The sequence below is a fragment of the Homo sapiens genome, chromosome 2, assembly GCF_000001405.40.
Source record: "Homo sapiens chromosome 2, GRCh38.p14 Primary Assembly".
Lineage (NCBI taxonomy): Eukaryota > Metazoa > Chordata > Mammalia > Primates > Hominidae > Homo > Homo sapiens.
The window spans coordinates 31,547,624-31,570,146 of NC_000002.12; the positions used below are offsets into that span (position 1 = coordinate 31,547,624).

Here is a 22,523-nt window from a genome sequence, read left to right on the forward strand (position 1 = left end):
TTGGACTTTAGGACTTGCACCAGCAATTCTCCAGGCTCTCGGGCTTTCAGTCCTGGACTGAGAATTGCAACATTGGCTTCCATGGTTCTAAGGCCATCAGACTTGGAATGAGCCATGCTACCAGCTTCCCTGGCACTCCAGCTTACAGATGATCTGTTATGAAACTTCTCAGCCTACATAATCAAGTGAGTCAATTCCCCTAATAAATCCTTTCTTATATCTCCCCCGCCTCTCTCTACATAGATAGATAGATAGATAGATATAGATATAGTTAGATAGATACAGATATAGATATAGATATATATCTCCTATTAATTCTGTCTCTCTGAAGAACCCTGATTAAAACAGATGTCAAGACCATTCAGTGGAGAAAGAACAGTCTTTTCAGCAAATCATGCTGGGAAAACTGGATATCCATATGCAAAATAAATAAATTAGACCCTTACCTAATACTATATAGAAAAATTAACTCAAAATTGATCAAAGACCTAAATATAAGAAAAAAACTATAAAATTCTTAAAAGAAAACGTAGGACAAAAGCATCATGATACTGTATCTGGCAGTGATTTCTTGGATATGCTACCAAAGGTGCAGCCAACAAAAGAAAAAACAGAAAAACTGAACTTCATGGAGAATCTTTAAAATTGTACATCAAAGACACTATTAATAGAGGAAAAGGGCAACCCACAGAATGGGAGAAAGTATTTGCAAAGCATATATCTGACAAGAGATTGACATCCAGAATATATAAAGCACTCCTAAAACTCAACAACAACAACAAAAAATTGGGCAATGGACTCGAATAAATGTCTCTCCAAAGAAGCTATGCAAATGGCCCATAAGAACCTGAAAAGATGCTCAACATCACTAATCTTTAGGGAAATTAAAATCAAAACTACAATGAGATACCATCTCCAACCAAACCAATTAAGATGGCTACTATTAAGAAAACAAAAAATAACAAGTCTTGGCAAAGATGTGGAGAAACTGGAACACTTGTGCCCTGATAGTAGAAATGTAAAATGGTGCAGCCACTGAGGAAAACAATATGGTGGTTACTCAAAAATTAAAAATAGAATTACTACATGACATAGCAAATCCACTTCTGAATATGCATCTAAAAGAACTGAAAACAGGGTCTTGAAGCAATATTTGTGCACACATTGATAGAAGCATTATTCACAATAGCTAAAATGTGGAAGCAATCAAGTGTCTATTGACAGATGAATAAATGGATAAGCAAAATGTGGTATATACTTACAATGGCTTTATAAAGGAAGAAAATTCTAACACGTACTATAACATGGATGAACCCTGAGAGCAATGTGCTAAGTGAAATAAGCCAGTCACGAGAAGACAAATTCCATATGATTCACTTATATGAGGTAGTTAAAAGTAGTCAAAAGCATAGAAACAGAAAGTAGAATGGTGGCTTCCAGGGGCTGGAAGTAGAGGGAATTATTATTATTATTATTATTATTATTATTATTATTATTATTATTATTTAAGATGGAGTCTCACTCTGTCACCCAGGCTGGGGTGCAGTGGCACAATCTCGGCTCACTGCAACCGCCGCCTCCCAGGTCCAAGCGATTCTGCTGCCTCAGCCTCCCAAGTAGCTGGGACTATAGGTGCCCACCACCACACCAGTCTAATTTTTTGTATTTTTAGTAGAGAGGGGGTTTCACCATATTAGCCAGGTTGGTCTCAATCTCCTGACCTCATGGTCCACCCGCCTCGGCCTTCCAAAGTGCTGGGATTACAGGCGTGAATTATTTTCTTACTAGGTACAGAGTTTCAGTTTTATAAGATAAAGAGTCATGAGCTAAATAGAAGTGATGGTTGCACAACATTAAGAATGTATTTAATGTCACTCAAAATGGTTCAAATGTTAAGTTCTATTATGTGTATTTTGCCACAATAAAAAATAATAAATGTTAAAAGTAAAAATGAAGTAGAGTTACTATACTAATTTCAGATAAAGTAGACTCTGAGCAAACAAAATTACCAGAATTAGAGAGGGACATTATATAATGATAAAATGGTAAGTTAACCATGAAGATATAGAAGTCTTAAATGTGTGTGCATCAAGCAACAAACTGGCAAATTATATGAAGCAAAACCAGAAGGAAAAATAAATAGATCTACTATTAAAGCTGAAGGCTTCAACACCCATTTCTAAACCATAGATAGGAAAACCAGAAAACTAGGAAAACTAGAAAATCAGCAAAGATATAAAAGAACTCAACAACACTATCAACCAACAAGATATAATCAACATTTCTATTACACAGCATCAAACAACAGCAGAATGCACATTCTTTTCAAGTGGCCATGGGATATATACCACAGTAGACCACATCTTATATCATAAGGCAATCCTAGACAAATTTTTAAAAAGTAAAATTATACAGAATATGTCACCTGGCCATAATAGAAACAAAACAGAGATCAGACATAATAATAACAAGAAATTCTCCAAAACTTAGAAACTAAACAGCATACTTTTAAATAATTCATGGATCAAAGACCAAGTCTCAAGGTAAATTAAAAACTACATTCATCTTTGTTTTTTGTAACCACTTTAAAAAATAAACTAGGTAATTTATTTCTTAATTTTCAATATCCCCAAAATAGAGATATCCTTGTCCAGATGGCTTTACTGCAGAATTCTACCAAACATTTAAGTAATTAATACCAATTCTATGTGATTTCTTCCAAAAAATAGAAGAGCTTCTCAATTCATTTTATAAAGCTTGTATTACCCTAATCCAAAAAAAAAAAAGGTAAAGATAAACCAGATAAAGACAGTGCAAAGAAGAACAAGAAAAAAATTACAGGCTACTAGTCCCCATAAAAATTGATGCAAAAACATTTAACAAACAGAATTCAGTAATTCTATATGAAGAATTATATAGCATGACCAACTGGAGATATAGTTCAGAGATGCAAGGCTGGTATACTTAAAAATCAATTGATGTAACCCACCTTATTAACAGAATAAAAAAAGAGAAATAACCTGATTATATCAATCATTTAAAAATTTTATAAAATTCAATTTCTATTAATGATAAAATTATAAGAAATAGAAAATAAGAGTAGAGGAAAACTTCCTGAACTTGATAAGGAACATCTACAGCTAACATTATATCGAACAGTCAGTAACTGAATGTTTTTTCCTTAAGATCGTGAACAAGACAAAGATGTGCATTCTTACTACTTTTATTCAACAACATGCTAGAAATTCTAGTCAGTGTAATAAGGTAAGAAAAAAATTTATAGATTAGAAAAGGAGAAATAAAAGTCATTTGCAAATCACATGATTATCTATGTGGGAAATCCCCAAAAATATACAGAAAAAAACCCCTCACTTCTAATAGATTATTTCAGTGAATTTGCAGGATACAAAATACACAATTAAATTTCTATTTGCTACTAATGAATATGTTGACACTGAAATTTAAAAATATCACCAAATTTACGATGACCCCAAAACTACCATATTTTGTTGTAAATCTAACCAAACATGTACAAGGGTTCTATAGTGAAAACTCCAAAGAATTAATAAAATAAATTAAAGATCTTTTTTAAATGGTGACATATCATGTTCATGGATTAAAAGACTCAATATAGCAAGGATATTAATTCTCCCCCAAAATGACAATGCAATTTTTATTACATCCCAGAAATTTTTAAAAAATATAGACAAGATAATTCTAAAATGTACACATGCTCCTCAACTTACAATGAGATTACTTCCTGATAAAACCATTGTTTTCAATATATCAGAAGTTGAAAATACATTTAATACAACTAACCCACCAAATATAACAGCTTAGCTTGCTTTACCTTAAACTTACTCAGAACACTTACATTAACCTACAGTTCAGCAAAATAATCTAGCACAAAGCCTATTTTATAATAAAGTGTTGAATATGTCATGCAATTTATTTAATAGTACTGTGCTAAAAGTGAAAAACAGAACAGTGTGTGGACACTGCGTATGGTTTCTACTGAATGCATTTTGCTTTCATACCTTCATATAGTCAAAAAGTTTTAAGTAGAACTGTTGAATTTCAGGGACCATCTGTATACAGAAAGTCAAAGGAACTTGGATAACTAAAATAATTGGAAAAAAAAAGTCAGAGTTCCTATCAGATTTAAGACTTATTAAATAGTTATAGTGATCAAGACTATGTGCTGTTGGTGGTGGGATAGACACATAGATTGACAAAACAGAATATAGGACCCAGAAATAGAGCCATAAAAATAGGCTCAAATGATTTTTTATAAAGGTGGAGAAGCAAATCAATGGAGGAAAATTAGCCTTTCAGTCAGGAGACAATCCTCAGGATCTAGGACTAAGCAAAGAGGTCTCAGACTTGACACCAAAAGCACCATCCATAAAAGGAAAACTCATAAATTGGACTTCATCAAAATTTAAAACTTTTGCACTTCAGGGGAGTGATATCAGCAAGATGGTAGAATAAATGGTCCCTCACCTCATTATTCCACAGAAACATCAAGCTAACAATAATATACACACCAAAATACCTTTGTGAGACTACTTTTATGAGAAGTTGCAAGCATCCTAGATGAGCACAAAATGAAGAACAGCCACATTAAAACAAATAAGAAGAGCAATTACACTTTACCTATGTCAGCCTCTCCCCAAAGCCAGCACAGATCAATGCCAAGGGATATTGCCTCAACCCACACTTCTCTCATTAGGAGGGGAAGAGAAGTGGAATGACCATCCGGCATCCCAGTCTTTCAGTGAATTGTCCAAGGGGACAGTTTCTATCTTGCCCCACATGGAACATTGACAGTACTGCCATAGTTTGGACCCCTCGGTCAACTCAACAATGGAAAGGGCGTAAACAGATTGTTACAGGATAGCAGAGCTCTGTGAGATTGGGAGAAATTGCAGAACCTAGGCATCTCACCAAGAAGAGAGAAGAGTGGTGTATACCTCCAACCTCTTGGTCTTTCACTACATTGCCAGAAGAATGCCAGTCCCTGTTCCACTCAACCCAAAGGACTGACAGAATGAGTATAGTTTGATGGGGGCAGCTAAGAACAAAGGAAAAGAGGCAGTCAGCTTGCTATGTGAGAGGCTCTCCAAATCTCTAGCTGGGCTAATTGATGAAGGTCTTTAACTGTCAACACCACTCCATAAAAACTGGGAGAGATGGCTGTTTTTTCAAATGTGCAGACACCAAGGCAAAGCTACAAGAAACATAAAAAATCTGGGAAACATGACACAATCAAAGGAAAAAACAAATCTCCAGCAACCAACCCTACAGAAGTGGAGATCTTTTAGATGCCTGACAAAGAATTCAAAATACTTATCATAAAGAAGTTTAATGAGTTACGAGAGGAAACATATGAACAACCAAAGGAAATCAGGAAAGTAATACCTGAAAAATGAGATTCTCAGTAAAAAGATAGGAACTATACAAAGAACCAGACAAATTCTGCATCTGAGGAATCTAATTGCTGAAAGAAAAACAATCAATAGAAAGCTTCAAACACAGAATTGATCAAACCTAAGAAGGAATCAGTGAACTCAAAGACAAGTTATTTGAAATTATCCAGTTATAAGTGCAAAAGAAAAAAGAATGAAAGAGTTAAGAAAGCCTAAGGGACATATGAGACATCATCAAGACAACAAATATATACATTATGGTGATTCTAGAAGGAAAGCAGAGAGACAATAGGAAAAAAAGCTTATTTAAAGAAACAATCACTGAAAATTTCTCAAATTCCAGAAGGGAAATGAACACTCAGATTCATGAAGCTGAAAGCACCACAAATAGGATGAATATAAAGAAATCTAGACCAAGACACATTACAATCAAATTGCCAAAATACAGAGACAAAGAAATTGTCGAAGGCAGCAAGAGAAATGTGACACGTCACATACAAGGACACATCAATAATACCATCAGATTTCTCATAAGAAGCCTTACACACCAGAAGACAGTGGAATGACACATTCAAACAGCTGAAGAAAAATAAAACTGCCAATTCAACTGAGGTAGGTCCACACCACAGAATACTACTCTGCAATCTAAAGGAAGGATATTTGAGGAGTTTGGACAAAGGAATAGTAAGCATAGTAAGCAATATATAAATATTAGCTGTCTGTGGTCCTTTGCTGAGATTTCCCTTACTGGATGTCTGAACTAAAATTGATTTCAATGGTCTAATATAACTCCAACAAGGTATATTAGCTCCCTGTGGCTGCTGTAACAGGGGTTACGGAGGTTTGGACAAAGGAATAGTAAAGGGTTTGGACAAAGGAGTAGTAAGTTTTGATAAGAGAACTGAAAAGACTTGAAGGCTAGTCAATTTCTAGGAAAAATAAACCTTTTGGAGCATGATAGTGCACATCTGTGAGGGATCTTGAGATAATTCCTATCCGTAGGAATTCCTTCCTACCCATAACAGGAAGGATAATTCTACTACTTGTTATCTTCCAAGTGATAGCTAAAACCTACGGCCAACAGTCTTTTAGAAGTAGAATACCACATAACATCTGTTGTGAGTACACTTGCAACCGATCTAGGAGAAAGGGAAAAAGACCCGGGTATCTTTCTCAAAAAATGTCTTACCTCAATCTAGAAGATTGAAGATAAACACTAACTCCCTGAAAAAAAAGTTGAGCCTGTCACTCACACATGCTTAATATGAATGCTTTAATCAATTCATAATCAGATGGTACTTGCCCTACCTAATAGCAACTCCACTGTGAAAATGAGCACTGTGATTACGGAGATGAAGAGGTCATTTTTGCAACTGGAGACAACTTGGAGAAAGAAGAGCTCTAGGTATAGTTTTTCAATATGGACATTCCCTGTGGTATTGGATATCCCCAGGGAACACTGCCTCAGGAGAAGCAGTTAGAGAAGAATCCTAAAACAAATGTGGAAAAACAGAAAGATCATTTTGCCTGAAGTCTCTTGATGGTTGCCTTGCATGTTGAGAATGATCACACAAGGTGACTTTGGCTCATCCCTTCTAAGGTGGCGGATAAGGAGTAGTCAGTGATGCAGGATTTCATTTTGCTTTTCCCTGGCATCAATTTGCATTTTTCACCTGGCTCTCTGGAAACATGTTGCTTTAAACATTCCTTCCATTACTCAAATGGTAGAAATTTCCAACATGTTTCAGGACCATGAAAAATATGTAGGGACAGATGGTTCTTCGGTATCAATCAGACTGTGTTCATGTAGGCTTATTCTGTTTATGTGCCCTGGTGATGAATAGTCCTGGTAAGATGGCCTCTATCCTGATCGTGTGTGTGTGTGTGTGTGTGTGTGTGTGTGTGTGTGTGTGTGTATGTGTGTGTGTGTGTTACCGCCAGGCCAGTGAAGAATTTAAAGCTTACAGACATAAGGTAATGTGCCCAAGGCCACACAGCTACAAAGAGGCAGCAGAGATGGAATTTAAATGTGGGTCTTCTGCTTCAAAATAACTCACTTATTTCCAAGTGGAAAGGGAAATTGTGACCAACACACACAACTAGAAAAAAAAAAAAATCCCACATGTCGCTCAAGAAAACCCAGGTTTGGATTTCAGACATTTTAGTCCAAGGACCTAATTGCATCTACAGTGGTCATCTGTTGTATTTGCCACCCAATATTCATTCTCCCTTCTGATGGTACCTACACTGGTTCTTCAGAACAGACCTACCTCTTTCCACAGTCTTAGCCCATGTATTAAGAGGGGTCATCCTTTCCAAGGTCCTCGGCCAAACAGAACAGGAAGGGGTGCTATCACATTGGTTGTCTCAGGCATGAGTATTCAACCCAACAAATCTCGGTAAGGTTTTGCTTACATTTTTTTCTAGGACTGTTTATTTTCATGTGCCTTGAACCTGAGAGAATGTAGGTCTTAGTACAGTTGTCTTGCCAGTACCTAAGGACGGCCTTTCTGAAACTACAGCCAGCAAAAGTAGAGCCAAGAGCTGGAGAAAGAAACCAGGTCCTGATAGTATCTTTGGAACCACTGCATTGATCTGGACCTGAAGCTGGAATTTTCCAGTTATGAGAGTTAATAAATTAGGGTTTCACTTAAGCCTATTCAGATTGATTTTTCTATCACTTGGGACAGAAAACATGTCCTGATAATGTAGCATCACCCTGTTCTCTTTTAAAATAAGCATCAGACTTTTCCAAATGTAAACCCAAAATTAGCCAGGCGTAGTCATGCAGCCTGTAGTCCTAGCTACTCGGGAGGGTAAAGTAGGAAGATCTCTTGAGCCCAGGAGTTCAAGGCCAGCCTGGGCAATATAGTGAGATCATATCTCTAAAATGAAAACAAAATAAAAAACAGCCATCATTGGTGAGATTTTGGGTACACATTTTAGCACAAAATAGAGTTTCTCAAAAAATTGTTCTCTTTGGAGCAAAACCACCAGGAAGCCTTTCCTTGTTGGAGCTCTCTATATGCCAAAGGCCATTGGGCCAACCAGTCCTCTGAGCACTTGCTCCACTTCTGTGGGTCCTTGCCGAGAAGTAACTACAAACATTGACAATAAATAGTCACTTGTTTGTATATTTGGATGGTACCTGTTGTGTAAATAATGGTTTTAGACATATTAGAGAATGGGATGTGCAGGCCAAATGTGAAGTCCACTAAACACAGAATGAGTCAGTGATGCCTCCCATCCAAGCTTACTTTTTATTATGCCATCTTGTATAGTGGGTTGAATGGTAGACCCCAAAAAGATATCTCTATGTCCTAATTCCAGGAACTTATGAATAGTACCTTATGATAGCAAAAAAAAGTGAATATTATCTTCTATGGCAAAAGATGTGACTACATTAAGAATCCTTAGAAAAGCAGCTCATCCTGTATAATCCACGTGGGCCCTAGATGCAAACACATGGATTCTTATACAAGAAATACCAGGAGAAGAAAGACACACAGGGGAGGAAGTAATATGAAGATGAAGCAAAGAGAGATGTGACCGCAAGCCAAGGAATGCCAATAGCCACCAGAAGCTGAAAGAGGAAAGGAGCAGGTTTTCCTTCAGAGCTTCCAGAAGAAGTGTGGCCCTGCTGACACCTTGATTTCAGACTTCTGGCCTTCAGAATAGTAAGAGTAAGATTTATTTTGTTTTAAGCCACTTTGTGGTAATTTATTACAGCAGTCACAGGAAGTTAATATAACTTGTTGGAGTAATATTACACTATTGAGATCAATTTCAGTTCAGACATCCAGTAAGGGAAATGTCAGCAAAGGACGACAGACAACTAATATTTATATATTGCGTACTATGTTCCAGGCAATGTTCTAAGTACTTTGCCCATATTAACTCATTTAATCTTTATAACAACCCTAGGAGATAGGTATTATTATTCCCATTCTACAGAGAAGGAAACTGAGGCACAATGAGACTAAGTTAGCCCAAGGTCACATAATTATGAGATATCAGAGTTGGGATTCAAGTCCAGGTGGCACTGATTCCAGAGTATCTGCTCTCTAGCATTTTCCTCTATTGCAGTCACATGTCCACATCAGAGGATTACACCCCTGGTTGCACAAGCAAGTCACCTGAGTGGCTTTAGAAATATTAAAGGGGAGGAATCACCCTGAAGACAAATTAATCACAACCTTGGGCACATGACTTTGAGCAGAAGTCATTTTAAGGGTTCCCCCAGATGATTTTAATGTGCAGCCAGGTTAAAAGCCAATGACATAATGACTCCCAGTGGCAGATTTAACTAATTTGTTTAAATTTGCATTGCTTAGATGTTTTGGCTTTTCCAAGTCTATGTCTACACAGAGAAATTGGACCGCAAAACCTAGTAAAAGGCTTAACTCAGTAAAACCATAATTTTTTTTCTTGTAATGGTCTGGTTGATCAATTTTTTTCAAGGGTTATACCATAGGAAAAACTCAATGTGAAGGCTACCTAGTAATCAACAATTTGTTTTAATTTTGGTATTGAGGGAGTAGGAATGGAGAATGATAAAATGGAGATGGAGTAGGAATGGATGAGAAATGGAAATTCATCCACATCCCCAGAACCCATTCTGGCCAATTTCTGGTCAACTCTGGTCTGGATATCTGTGACCTAGAAATCTGGAGTACAGCACCCTGGGGGCTCTTGATTTTGCAATTGCCCTAGAGCAAACTCAAAGGCTGTTATTGCTTCTAAAATAGGACCAGCTTCCTTATATTCTCCTGAACAAAAAGGAACTCATCACGAAAGCAGCCTCCTAGAGCCTGCTCCAGGCCTGACACAGGTCAGTGCTGCCTGACCTTCTGATGCAGAGTCTCAGGTTGAACAATCCTCTGATAGGACTAGTGCTATCTCACTTTCAGATCGGCACTATGAAGCACTTTAGAAACTAGGCTCTATAGAGTCCAAATCTGCCGATAATACCAATGGATTTTAAAGCTTTTTAGCCATGGAGCATTTTCTTCAATGGAAATCTTACTTGGAAGGCCAGCAAACATAAAAATCGGGGGGAGTTTCTATACTTGAAGAGAATCTGAACCCCTACTTGGCCAGACCTTTAGTGTAGGAAAATACAAAGAGCCTTTGCCAAGAGAGGGCCAAGTAAACATCAAGAACTACTCTGACATTGTAAATAATTCTAGTAACAGGAGACCTATTTGGTTATCCCTTGACCTGTCCTGCTCTGAAGTATGCCTGGTGTTAATTTCCTAGGCTGCCATAACAAATTGCCGCAGACTGGATAGCTTAAAACAATAGAAATGTATTGTCTCACAGTTCTGAAGGCTGGAAGTATGAGATCAAGGGGTTGGCAGAGCCATGCTTCCTCTAAAGGCTCTAGGGAGGAGTCCTTACTTGAGTGTTCCTAGCTTCTGGCAATGGTTTGCAGTCCTTGGCATTCCTTGGCTTGTCATTGCATCACTCCAATGTTTGCCTCTGTCTTCAGATGGCCATCGTCCCGGTGTTTCCCTGTGTTTGTGTCTGTTTCTCTCCTCTTATGAGGACACTAGTCACATTGGATTTAGAACCTACCTAATCCAGTATGACCTCATCTTAACTACAGTCATGCATCATAATGACATTTCGGTCAATGGCACACTAAATATATGATTATAGTCTCATTAGATTATTGTACCCCAATTGCCTACAGTAGTCAGTACAGTAACAGGCTGTAGAGGTTTGCAGCCTAGGAACAATAGGATATAGTATATGGTCTAGGTGTGTAGGAGACTGTACCGTCTAGGTTTGTGTGAGTACACTCTATGATGTTTGGACAATGATGAAATCACCTAACAACACATTACTCAGAATGTAACCACAATGTTAAGCAATGCATGACATCGCAAAGACCCTATTTCCAAATAAGGTCATAGTCTAAGGTTCTAGAGAAAACATGAATTTAGGAGAGACATGCTTCAACCCAGTACACAGCTCCAGTTCTACCTCTGAACTTGTTTATATGGCTGGGCCCCACCACCATGGCCAGATCTCCCCCAGCAGCTACCCTGACACCAGATGCCAGTGGCGTGGCTTTTTGGCTTCCATCAGCTTTTATTGCCTAAATGTTTGAGCTCCCAGACTGTGTGATCTCCAGGCTGCAAATGTTGCCACTTTGGCTTGACCTGCTGCCGAGTCCAGAATGGAATGTTTTCTTGCAAGTTTTCCTTTCCAGATTTCAATCAAGAAAAAAATGAGTAAGCTGTCTGCAGAAAATCCTATGGTATCTTTCCAGACAAAGAAAGACTTCCCTGGAAACCACTCTTTGACTTATTCAATATCCCTTTTTTTCTTAATTATGGCTAATATAAATTGTTTTTTAGAAAGTGTTTCTTACTAAGTGATACCATATTTTAACTGAGCCGTGCTAGAACCTACTATTCTTTAAAAAACCTCTTTATTCTTTGAATATTTTAACATACATTTGCATAAAACAAAAAATGTTGATTTGTATTTCAATTTTATTTTAGTTCTTCCCAAATTGCTCTTAAAAAAAGAAAAAGAAAAGATTTAAGGCCATAAACATAGATGTATAAAGTGCTGTAAGATGGCCTAAAATTTAAAGAAAAAGGAGGCAAATGAAAATAAAGATATGAAAGTAAGGTGAATTGACTAATGAAGTTAGCACCTAGACTCTATGTCAACAAGTCAGGTATGTTTGTCTACTGAATAGGACAAAAATTTATCTATGAACTTTCTAGTAACCAATACATCAGTGCCCATAAGTAAAAGTAAACAAACCCACACACACACACACACACACACACACACACACACACACACACAAAGCCATACAACACACCCCAACCACCAAAGTAAGCTCTGAAGAGTAATCTCAAAGTTTCCTCCAGGAACTGTTAAGATTTAAGTAGAACAGAGTGGTTTGTGAAGGTACCTATAGAACTTTATCATCACTTTTTAAAAAATTGTACGTTCCCACAATATCTATGTACATACCAATCCCCCCCCCCCCCTTTTTTTAAAAAGTCATTGACCATTGGGAATCAAGTATTTTAGGTAGGTGAGAGGACAGGTGCTCCAGGATATTCTAAGACATGTGATTAATATATATGAACTCTTTCTGAAGTCCTGGCCCTATATCCTCTAATGGGACATTCCATTCTTCTTTCCATCTTGTTGCTACTGCTATTTAGAAATCTGTCAAGCAAGCATTGCCTTTGATGTAAGCATCTAGATAGACTGTGGGGATGGGGAGAGAGTTCTGACCAATGAACCTGAAACCAAGATGTCTAAGGGTGTCTAGAGCTCCCATCTCCTGTCCATCTTCCCCTGATTTTCCCTCTATATCTCACAGTTCCCTGAACTTCTCCAGCACTTTTTGTATTTCTGTTTAACTATCCTAGGCAATAGCACTGATTCTTAATAAGCCCTTGTTATTTGAGAACCGGCACCTGATTTCAGGCTCCTGGCCTTTGGGTGTAACTTGTTCAATGCTTTGCCCAATATAGGCCCCTGAAAAACCTGCATCAGCACTCTCTCTTCTTTTTCCACCTTTTTTGCTGCGCTTCCTTTCTCCTTTCCCAGCTTTTCTTCTTTTTACTGTTGTATCTCCTTTAAACCTCTTTCCCCATTTCCTTTTACTCCCCTTTCCCTGTTCCTTTTATGCACCTGCTCTTTTTCTTCATACCCTTGCCCTCTGAGTAGCTGCTCTATAATCCTATAGCCCTACAGAGCTTGTCACACATTACTTCAAGACTTTGTTACTCGGTGTCTCCACAAGAATGGCCTGCAGGAAGACAAGCAAAATAAACTGGATACCAAGTTTAGGAAGAAGATCAGAAGCTAGTCTCCTAAGGGCTGTTGCAGAGAAAGGCAGCAACTCATCTAGTTTTTTGGATGGGTGCCCTCCCTAAAATATTGCTCAAAGTTCCCAGAATATCATTTTATAAATTCTAGAATCAAACCTTCTATATACCTATCCCAACCCTAGAAAAGCAATAGAGAAATGCCTCCCTGGGGAAAGCAAAGTGATTCCCTCCACATCTAATCCCTTTTTCTAAAATGAAGACTCAGCACCTTTCCAAGAGCTCAATAATAATGCAATGAGATTTGTAAAAGAGCACACCTGACTCCTCTCCAAGTGTGCCCTAACTGGGGAAACACACGGCCTCCAGTATTTACAGTGTGGATTAGCCCAGTTTTCAGGCTCCAAGACTCTATTAGCACAGCAATATTAACCTAATTACTTTCTCTAGTAAGACAAATATTAAGGCCTCCTAGACATATAATGATATTTTCCCCAAAGAGCAATGACTCAAGACTTCTTCCCATCTTACTCTGCCATGCTGGAAGACAGGGCAGCCACATCCCATTGTCAACCCCATGCAAATGTTATCTGGTTTTAACTATCTAATGGTCCTAATCTGGCAGATCCATTTAAATCATGCAAAATCTTTGAGATGATTAGCTTGTGAATATCTAAAATACAGCAGAAAACCTTTAAGTTCCCTGCTTATGTTTTTAAGTATTTATGGCATGTCCTGGTAATACTGGGAGACCTTGGAACTGTCCACTCAGTATCTTTCTTCCTGCCTCTACATTAAAATAGATGTTCAATCCAAACATCTAATGAATTACCAAGGTTTTAAAAAACTTTGAGGATTCCCCAGAATGATAGAAAGAATAATGATCATTGGAGTGAAACCTCCCATAGGCATGCTACTGACCACTGGCTCCATTTTAAAAAAATTTTTAATACCCCAGAAGATCAAAATCAAAGAGAATCAGATCAACTTCATGGCCTGAGTAACTAAATCAACTTATTTGAATAACTAGTTTACCGTTTTCTATAAATTGATCAACTTGAGGTGGATTTTGGCATCATGAAACAACAGTTGCTCAGCCACTCATGCTAACTGATTATTACAAAATCAAGAAAATACAAATATTGACATGGGATGGTTTTCAGCTTGAAGTAAAAAGCTCAGCAAGCCTATGAAGAGCAGCTAAGGACATAACAGGCACTTTCACTGTTGGATAAATACATGCCATTTCTCTGAGCTATAATTTTGTCTCCTTTATTTCTCAATGTTTGCAAAAAGAAAATTGTGGTTTTCTAAGTTCAGTTGTTTAGCTTCTTAGTGCAGCCCAGGTTTACAGGTCTTTTTTTTCCTTTTTAAAAAATTTTTATGTTTAATATTTGTGGGTATATAGTGTATATGTTTATGTGGTACATGAGATATTTTGATACAAGGATGCAATGTGTAATAATCACATTAGGGTAAAATGGGGTATCCACCACCTCAAATATTGATCCTTACTGTTACAAACAATCCAATTATACTATTTTAGTTATCTTTAAATGAGTAATAAATTATTATTGACTGTAGTCAGTCTGTATCAAATACTAGAACTTATTCATTCAATCTAATCATATTAATGTACCCATTAACAATCCCAAGTCTTCTGATGTTATTTGGAAGCAAACAGCTCTGTACAGTTTTGCAGCAATGAGGCCTAGATATTGCCATAAATTTGAGAACTTTTAAAAAGTTTCCACCTACATTTAAATATTGTCCTGATACAAAGATGGGAACAATACACACCAGGGATTCCAAAAGGGAAAAGGAGGGAGAGGGGCAAGGGTTGAAAAACTACCTATTGGGTACTATGTTCACCACTTGCGTGATGGGATCATTAGAAGCTCAAACCTCAGCATCACACAATATACCCATGTAACAAACCTGCACATGTACCCCCTGAATTAAATTTTTAAAACAAATAAATAAATGTCCAGGGATTCAGTAGCCCTGATCAAAGGCAACATTCAAAGATTGATCTACCTCAGCATATCTCCCTCCTACATCTACCTCCATTCCATTGTTCATTTGGACCAAACAAAAAAAGAACAAAAGCACAATCTGAGGTTTCTGCAACATAATTTTCCATGTGAAAGTTTCAAACCAATCATTCATAACCATCTGTTGGTATCTCCCACTCTTTATCTCCTACTCTATAGTCCTACAGCCACCTTCCCAGCTGCAGCTACATGGAGCCACAGGACTCATGTAAAGGAAGTCATCATTCTGCTATCCCACTTAGTCTTCTAAGTAAAATACGTCCCAAAGCATTACACGTCAAGCCTGAAGATGGAAAGTTTGGGGAAAAAAACATGACATTGAGTACAAGTAGAGGTCACTAAAACCAACAAATCAACCAGTATTGCAGATTATCCAATTAGCAAAGATAAATACTAAAACCCATTGGAGACACTTCTGCTTCCAGTCAAGGAGGAATAACAGGAATTGGATTTATCCTCCAGGCTAGAAAAAAAAAAGGTAAGTTATATGAAATAATTATTTACAAAACACTGGATATTAGGCAATGAAAAACAGTGAGTGGCAAGAAAAAAATGACTCACACCACCTCATAACTGACCCAGCTTCCTGGTTTGAGAAAACTTCCAGGCTGAGGTACAGGGAAGGGGATCCCAGGGAGAAGCTAAAAGACTTCCTGAGTTGAGAAAACAAAATTGAGATTTCAAGAAATCAAGACATCTAGAATTTTCAAGACAGAGTGCTGAAAAGGACAGAGACACACGGAGACCTGCAGAGAATTTTCCTCAAGTATTAGCAGAGTGTTAATTCATGCATTTGTGTGAGGAAAGAATCACCCAAAAGAATTAAAGGGAACAGTATCCAGTGATCACACATGGCCACAAATAGAGCCTGTACCCATAAGCCAGATAGAAAAGCTCATATAAGACATTGGGTAGAATACTCAAAAAGGCTTTACCTCAGAGGAAATTATTAATTAGCCCTAGCATTAACACTCTTCTGGAACCACTGAACAAATCAGATCAAAGCCTGAAATGATCAAATTGTTTCCAAGTAACTTAACTTCATCCCAGAACAAAGCTCAAGAATATTTATAGAAACACAAAAATATCCAACACCCAATGAGGTACAATTTTCTGACCCTCCAATCAAAGATTACCAGGCATGCAAAAAGGGAGGAAAACACTGCTTATTATAGGAAAAATAATTAATCAGTCAAAACTGACACCGAAATGACACAGATATTAGGTTAGCAATGATATTAAAACAGCTGTTATAACTGCATTCCATGTGTTCACAAAATTAAGTAGGGACATGGAAGAGAGAAAAAAAGACCGAAATCCAAAATTCTAGAGATGGAAACTACAATCCCTGAGATAAAAATACCAGAGATGGGATTAGCAACAGATAAGACATTGTAGAAGAAAAGATTATGAACTTGAAGAATAGCAATAGAAATTACCCAAAAGAAGCACACAGAAAAAAAAAAGAATCCACAAAAATGAAAAGAGCATCAGTGAGTTGTAGGACAGTTTAATATACATGTAGGTCTCATAGATATTTTCCTCAGCAAAAGAAAGGAGAAGTAGGGAGGGAATGAAGAATAGTGTATGAAAATCGTCCAATTTTGATGAAAGACTCAAGCTCATGGATTCAAGTTTAAGGAAGCCCAGAATAAGAAATATAAATACACCAAGGAATATAGTAACCCAACATCTCAAATCCAGTGATAACATGAAAATATTAAAAGTAGGCAAAGATAAGAAGATACGTTAAGTACAGAGGACAAGGATAAGGGCAAGAACAGATTTCTTGTTGGAAATAATGCAAACAAGACGACAGTGAAACATCTTTAAAGTAATGAAAGAAAGCAGCTGTCAATCTGGATTGCTATATCCTAGAATTTTCTATCTTCGAAAACAAGAAATAAAAACACTTTCAGAAATATAAATTCTGATTTCAGGTAAAAGGAAAAAATGATACCACATAGAAATATAAATCAACCCTCAAAAATGAAAAGCATCAAATATGGCAACCACATAAGCAAATATATAACTTTTTTATTATCTTATTTAAAACTGTTTAAAAGATAATTGACGATTTAAACAAAAATAATAGTAATAAGTTGAGGCTTTTATAGCACATATGTAAGTAAAACAACAACAATAACATAAGGGCAAGAGAGAAGAAATGGAAGTACATTATTTCAGATTTTTATACCATACTTGAAGTGGTATAATATCACCTTAAGGAAGACTGATAAATTTAAGATACATGCAATAAACCTTTAAGCAAATTAACAAAAGAGTTATAATGAATAAACTGACAATATAAATTGAAATAAAATAATACTAAATCCAAAAGATGGAATATAAATAGGAAATAGGAACAAATAACAGAGACACAAATGGAAACAAATAGCAAGATGATAGACATAATTCAAACTGTATAAATAATCTCATTAAATATAAACATTCTAATATCCCAGTTAAAAATCAGAGATTGTCAGAATGGCAGGGGCAGGGGGAAAGAAAAATTGAACAGTATGCCACCTTTGAGACACACACATTAAATCTAAAGACAGAAACAGATTAAAAGTAAAATGTTGGAATAAACATGGTAGATACATATACCATGTTAACCCTAGTAAAAAGAAATCTGTAGTGGCTAAGTTAATATAAGACAAAAGTAGATTTCAAAGCAAGATATTACCAAGAATAAAGAAGATTGTTTCATCACGATAAAAGCATCAATTCATCAAGAGGACATACCAGTTCTGTCTCTATGCATGTAATAATAGACCTTCAAAATACATGAAGCAAAAACTGATAGAGCTGTAAGAAAAAAAAGCAAGTCTACAATTTTGATCAGATATCTCAATACTCTTCTCTCAATAACTGGTAGAATAGGTAGAGAGAAAATCATCAGGATATAGAAATTTGAAGCACACTAACAATCAAAATAACCTATGGACAATTTTAGAACACTCCTCTTCTTGGCAGTATACACATTCTTTTCATGTTTACACAGAACAATTATTACGATTGATAGACCCAATTCTGGGCCATAAAACAAGTTTTAAATTCAGTAAGTTTAAAAGGATGTATGTCATACAAAGTATGCTCTCTATCCACAGTGGAATTAAATTAGAAATGAATACAGAACATGTCTGGAAAATTCCTAAACATTTGGAAACTAAATAACACCCTTCTAAATAACCCATAGATATGAGAATAAATCAAAGGAGAAATTAAAATACATGAAATAAATTAAAATGGTAACAACATGTCGGAATTTGTGAGGTGCCACAAAACAATATGTAGGATGAAATTCAAAGCAATAAATGCTCATATTAGAAGAAAGAGAAAGTCTCCATTTATAACCTTGGCTTCCACCTTAATAAAAATAGAAAAAGGAGAGCAAATAAAATTCAAAGTAAGCATAAGAAAAAACATAATAAAGATCAAAACAGAAAACAATTAAATGTAAAACAAAATCAATAGTGAAACTCAATGAAATAAAAATCTAGTTCTGAGATGATCAATACAATTTCTAAAGCTCTAGTCAAAAAGATCTGGAAAAAAAGTGGAAAATATAAATTACCATGATTAAGGATGAAAGAGATGAGATCCTCTCAGATTCAAAATATTAAAAGGATAATAGTTTGGACTTTGCCAAGTGCTACTTTGCCAGGTAACATGATTGCATGTTAAGGGATCATCAACATCTTGATACAAAGGAGAAATAGAAAGATGACAATTTCATAAGTGGGTTGTGTCATAGCAGCTCAGTGGGGGAGATCTCACACACGAAGTGTGACTTTTAAAATCCCTCAGAACAGTAACTACTTATGGGGTGTCATATCTCTGCTGAGATTTAATTGCATGGTCAGTTTGTAAAATACATCTTAAAATTTTGTAATACAGTATTATTTCTTCTATAAGGTATAATAGGAGTTAAATAATTAAATACTTTAATAATACTAAAAGGAAAAAATACAAACCTAAATTATCAGCTATTTACATCACTTTATATTCCAATCATGGTCAATTTTCATTTGTACATGTCAACATGGATTAAATCAGAGTGTACTCTTTATGTGCTACTTTTTAACTAAATGGCTCCATATATTTATTTCCATACACAGATATAGTCCATGCAACTAATATTTTTGAAATATATATGGTAATTTAATCATATTGATTACAATCAATCCCCAATTGTAGAGCATTTAGGTAACTTCCAGTGTTTCACAGTTGTGAATAGTAACACTATAACTTTGTGTAGACTGATTTCTTCCTTTTGGATTATTTCCCTTGAGTAGAATTCCTGGCCCTCCTCTACTCACACCTCAAAAAAGTGAAACAGCTTATCAGCACTTGTTGAACATTTCCAGATGAACTTCACAGAAACTTTGAACAATTCTCAGTGACACAGGGCCACATATACATATAATTTTTTCACAGGCCTACCTAGTTTTCTTATTTTTATTGAAGTAAATTACTATTCAGTCAACTGAACCTATTTAAAGGGTGCAATTTGGTGTGTGTGTGTGTGTGTGTGTGTATATATATATATATATCTACCAGTGCAGTTTGGTAGATATATTTCATGTCACATGAAGCCATGTGACATAAAAATAATGAACACATCCATCACAACAAAAGGTTCTTCATACCCTTTGTAGTTCTACCTTCTTGTCCCTCTTGTGTCCTCAGGAAACCACTGATGTACTTTGTGTCACCATAGATTAGTTTAAATTTCATAGAATTTTATATAAACATAATCATAAAGCATGTACTCCTAGTTTTTGGCTTGTACAAATAAAGCTACTACAAACATTTGTATACAAGTCTTTGTGTCACGAGATCCTTGGGGTGTCACTTCACCAGCTGGAAACCTCTGTGGCCAGTAGTGCCTTCTGCCTGAGTATTGCTCATGCCCACTGAGCTCAATCTGTCCACTCAGCCTGGCAGGCTGCACTTGGCTCATGCTACAGGCCTGGATCCCACACCTGCCAAGGGTGAGCCAGGCACAGAATGATGAGGGGTGTGTGTGTGAGTGAGCGCAGGGTCCAGCCACTGTGCACAGCCAGGCACACTGGTTGCTGGGCAAGGCAAGCAGCTCCAGATGACAGCATAAGTGCCGGCTCCATGTGAGGCTATGGTTGGACCAGATGTACCCCAAGTGGCTTCCACTGTGGGCACCCACATCTGGATGAAGGGAACATGGTGGTGCCTGGAAGCTTGGAGATGCCAGGAACCACAAAGCCCCAAAGAGGGTGTCATAGCCCTGGCTCAGGGCTCCCCTAGTTCTGGGCTCCCCGAAGGGTCCCAGCTCTTCTCTCCTTCTTGTTGCCTGCAATGTGACAAGCAGGGGGGCATGTTTCAGACCTGTTTGTGTTACAGCTCTTTCAGTCCCCGCATTCAGCAGGTCCTGATTTCTTGTCCCGTGTCCGGGAACAATGAGGTACGCAAACAACTGGAGGATGAGCAAGGCAGAGAGGAGCTTCAGTGAGTGACAGAGAGGCTCTCGGGAGACCCAAAGTGGGCAGTTCCTTCCCACAGCTGGTAGTCCTGATGTCTGCCCAAGTCTGGATGAGTCCAGAGTTTTTATAGCCTCAGAAGGAAGGGCGTGCTGATTGGTCCATGGGCCACCATGAGCAGGTTCAGAAAAAGCACCATAAATTGTCACTCTGGGCCACTGACTCCATCCAGAATTGACAGCCCAGCACCCAGGCTTCAGGCCATCCCTGGCTTGAAGGTGGGGTTTCACCCGAGACCTGCCCCTTTCCACCCAGGAGCCTGTCTGCCTCCTGCCACCATCCACATGCCATCCATGGTGCCCAGGCTGTTAGTGCCAAGGGGTGCTTGCAAGCCTGCACTAAGCCACCCTCAGCCCCCACTTGCCCCTCCTCCCATGCTCATCAGCACCCAAAGTCTGGAGGGGGCCAAGGCGGCAGGGGGCTGGTGTGTCAATGCCGCCCTGAGCTTGCACATGCCAGGCCGAGCAACAGCACCTTGGCTCAGCCACAACTTTGTTCCACCCCAGAGCAGGTGCCTAGAGTGGGAAGAGGCCAAGGAGCGGGAGCAGGTACTTCCAAGCCTTCAGGGGCAGGGGCGCTTCCCAGGCCCCTGAGAGCACAGGGAAGCCCGGGTCCAGAGCCATGGCTGGGTGGCTGCAGCTGCGCCAAGGAGCACTGGCCTTCTGCCCCACCAACTTGGTAGGGGATGGGGCTCATGCCTGTTCCTGGCCGTGCCAGCTCTGTGGAGTGCGCAGCCCCAGCCATGCCTCTAACACTGCAGCCACTCCAGTCAGGCTGCTGCTACCACCATTTGTATGAACACATGCTTTTATTTTTCTTAGAAAAATAACCAGAAATGCAATGGCTACATTATATGATAGGTATATGTTTCACTTTTTAAGAAACTATCAAACCATTTTCCAAAGTGGTTGTCATTTAAATTCCCATCAAAGGTATGAGAGTTCCAGCTCTTCCACATCCTCACAAACACTTGGTATGGTCAGTATTTTTTATTTGAGCCATTCTATCAGACACATAGTGATACCCCATTGTGGTTTAATTTGCATTTCCCTAATCACTAATAATGAGCATCCTTTCATGTTCTTGTTTGCCAATCATACGTTTTCTTTGGCAAAGTATCTGTTCATATAATTCTCCTATTTTTAAAGTTAAGGTGCAAAGGCAGTTCATTGGACAAAAAGTAGTATTTTCAACAAATGGTACTAAAACAATTGACTGTCCACATGCAAAAAACAAAAAACAAAAAAAAAAAAACACAACAAAAAAACTTTGATTCAAACTTGGAAACCTACTTTAAAAATTAATTCAAAATGTGTCATAGACCTGAAATTAAAACCTAAAACTACAAATCTTGTAGAAGGAAATATAAGAGAAAATCACTGTGACCTTAGATTAGGCAAAAATTTTTTAGATATCACATCAAAAGCCAAAGAAAAATGGAAAAATTAGACTTCATCAAAATTAAACATTTCTGTTTTTCAAAAGACAGTTAAGACAAATTACACCAGATGTGTAAAGAAGAGCTGGTACCACTCCTACTTAAACTACTCCAAAAAATTGAGGAAGAGGGACTCCTCCCCAACTCATTCTATGAGGCCAGAATCATCCTCATACCAAAACCTCACAGAGACACAACAGAAAAAGAAAACTTCAGGCCAATATCCCTGATGAACATCAGGGCAAAAATCCCTAACAAAACACTGGCAAACT

At 37.6% G+C, this 22,523-nt stretch overlaps 1 protein-coding gene across 3 annotated transcripts in view; it reads right to left on the reverse strand.

Moving 5' to 3' along the window:
* The window catches only part of SRD5A2 (steroid 5 alpha-reductase 2), a 140,530-nt gene that overhangs the window by 25,144 nt on the left and 92,863 nt on the right, over nucleotides 1-22,523 (reverse strand). The window contains exon 1 of one of the 3 annotated variants that reach the window (XM_011533069.3): nucleotides 10,830-11,896. The exons of the other annotated variants lie outside the window; for them this stretch is intronic. Coding sequence (XP_011531371.1) covers nucleotides 10,830-10,888 — 59 coding nt within the window. The 5' untranslated portion in view covers nucleotides 10,889-11,896. Of the gene's footprint in view, nucleotides 1-10,829; nucleotides 11,897-22,523 lie in introns of those variants that run through there. 3 annotated transcript variants of the gene reach the window in all.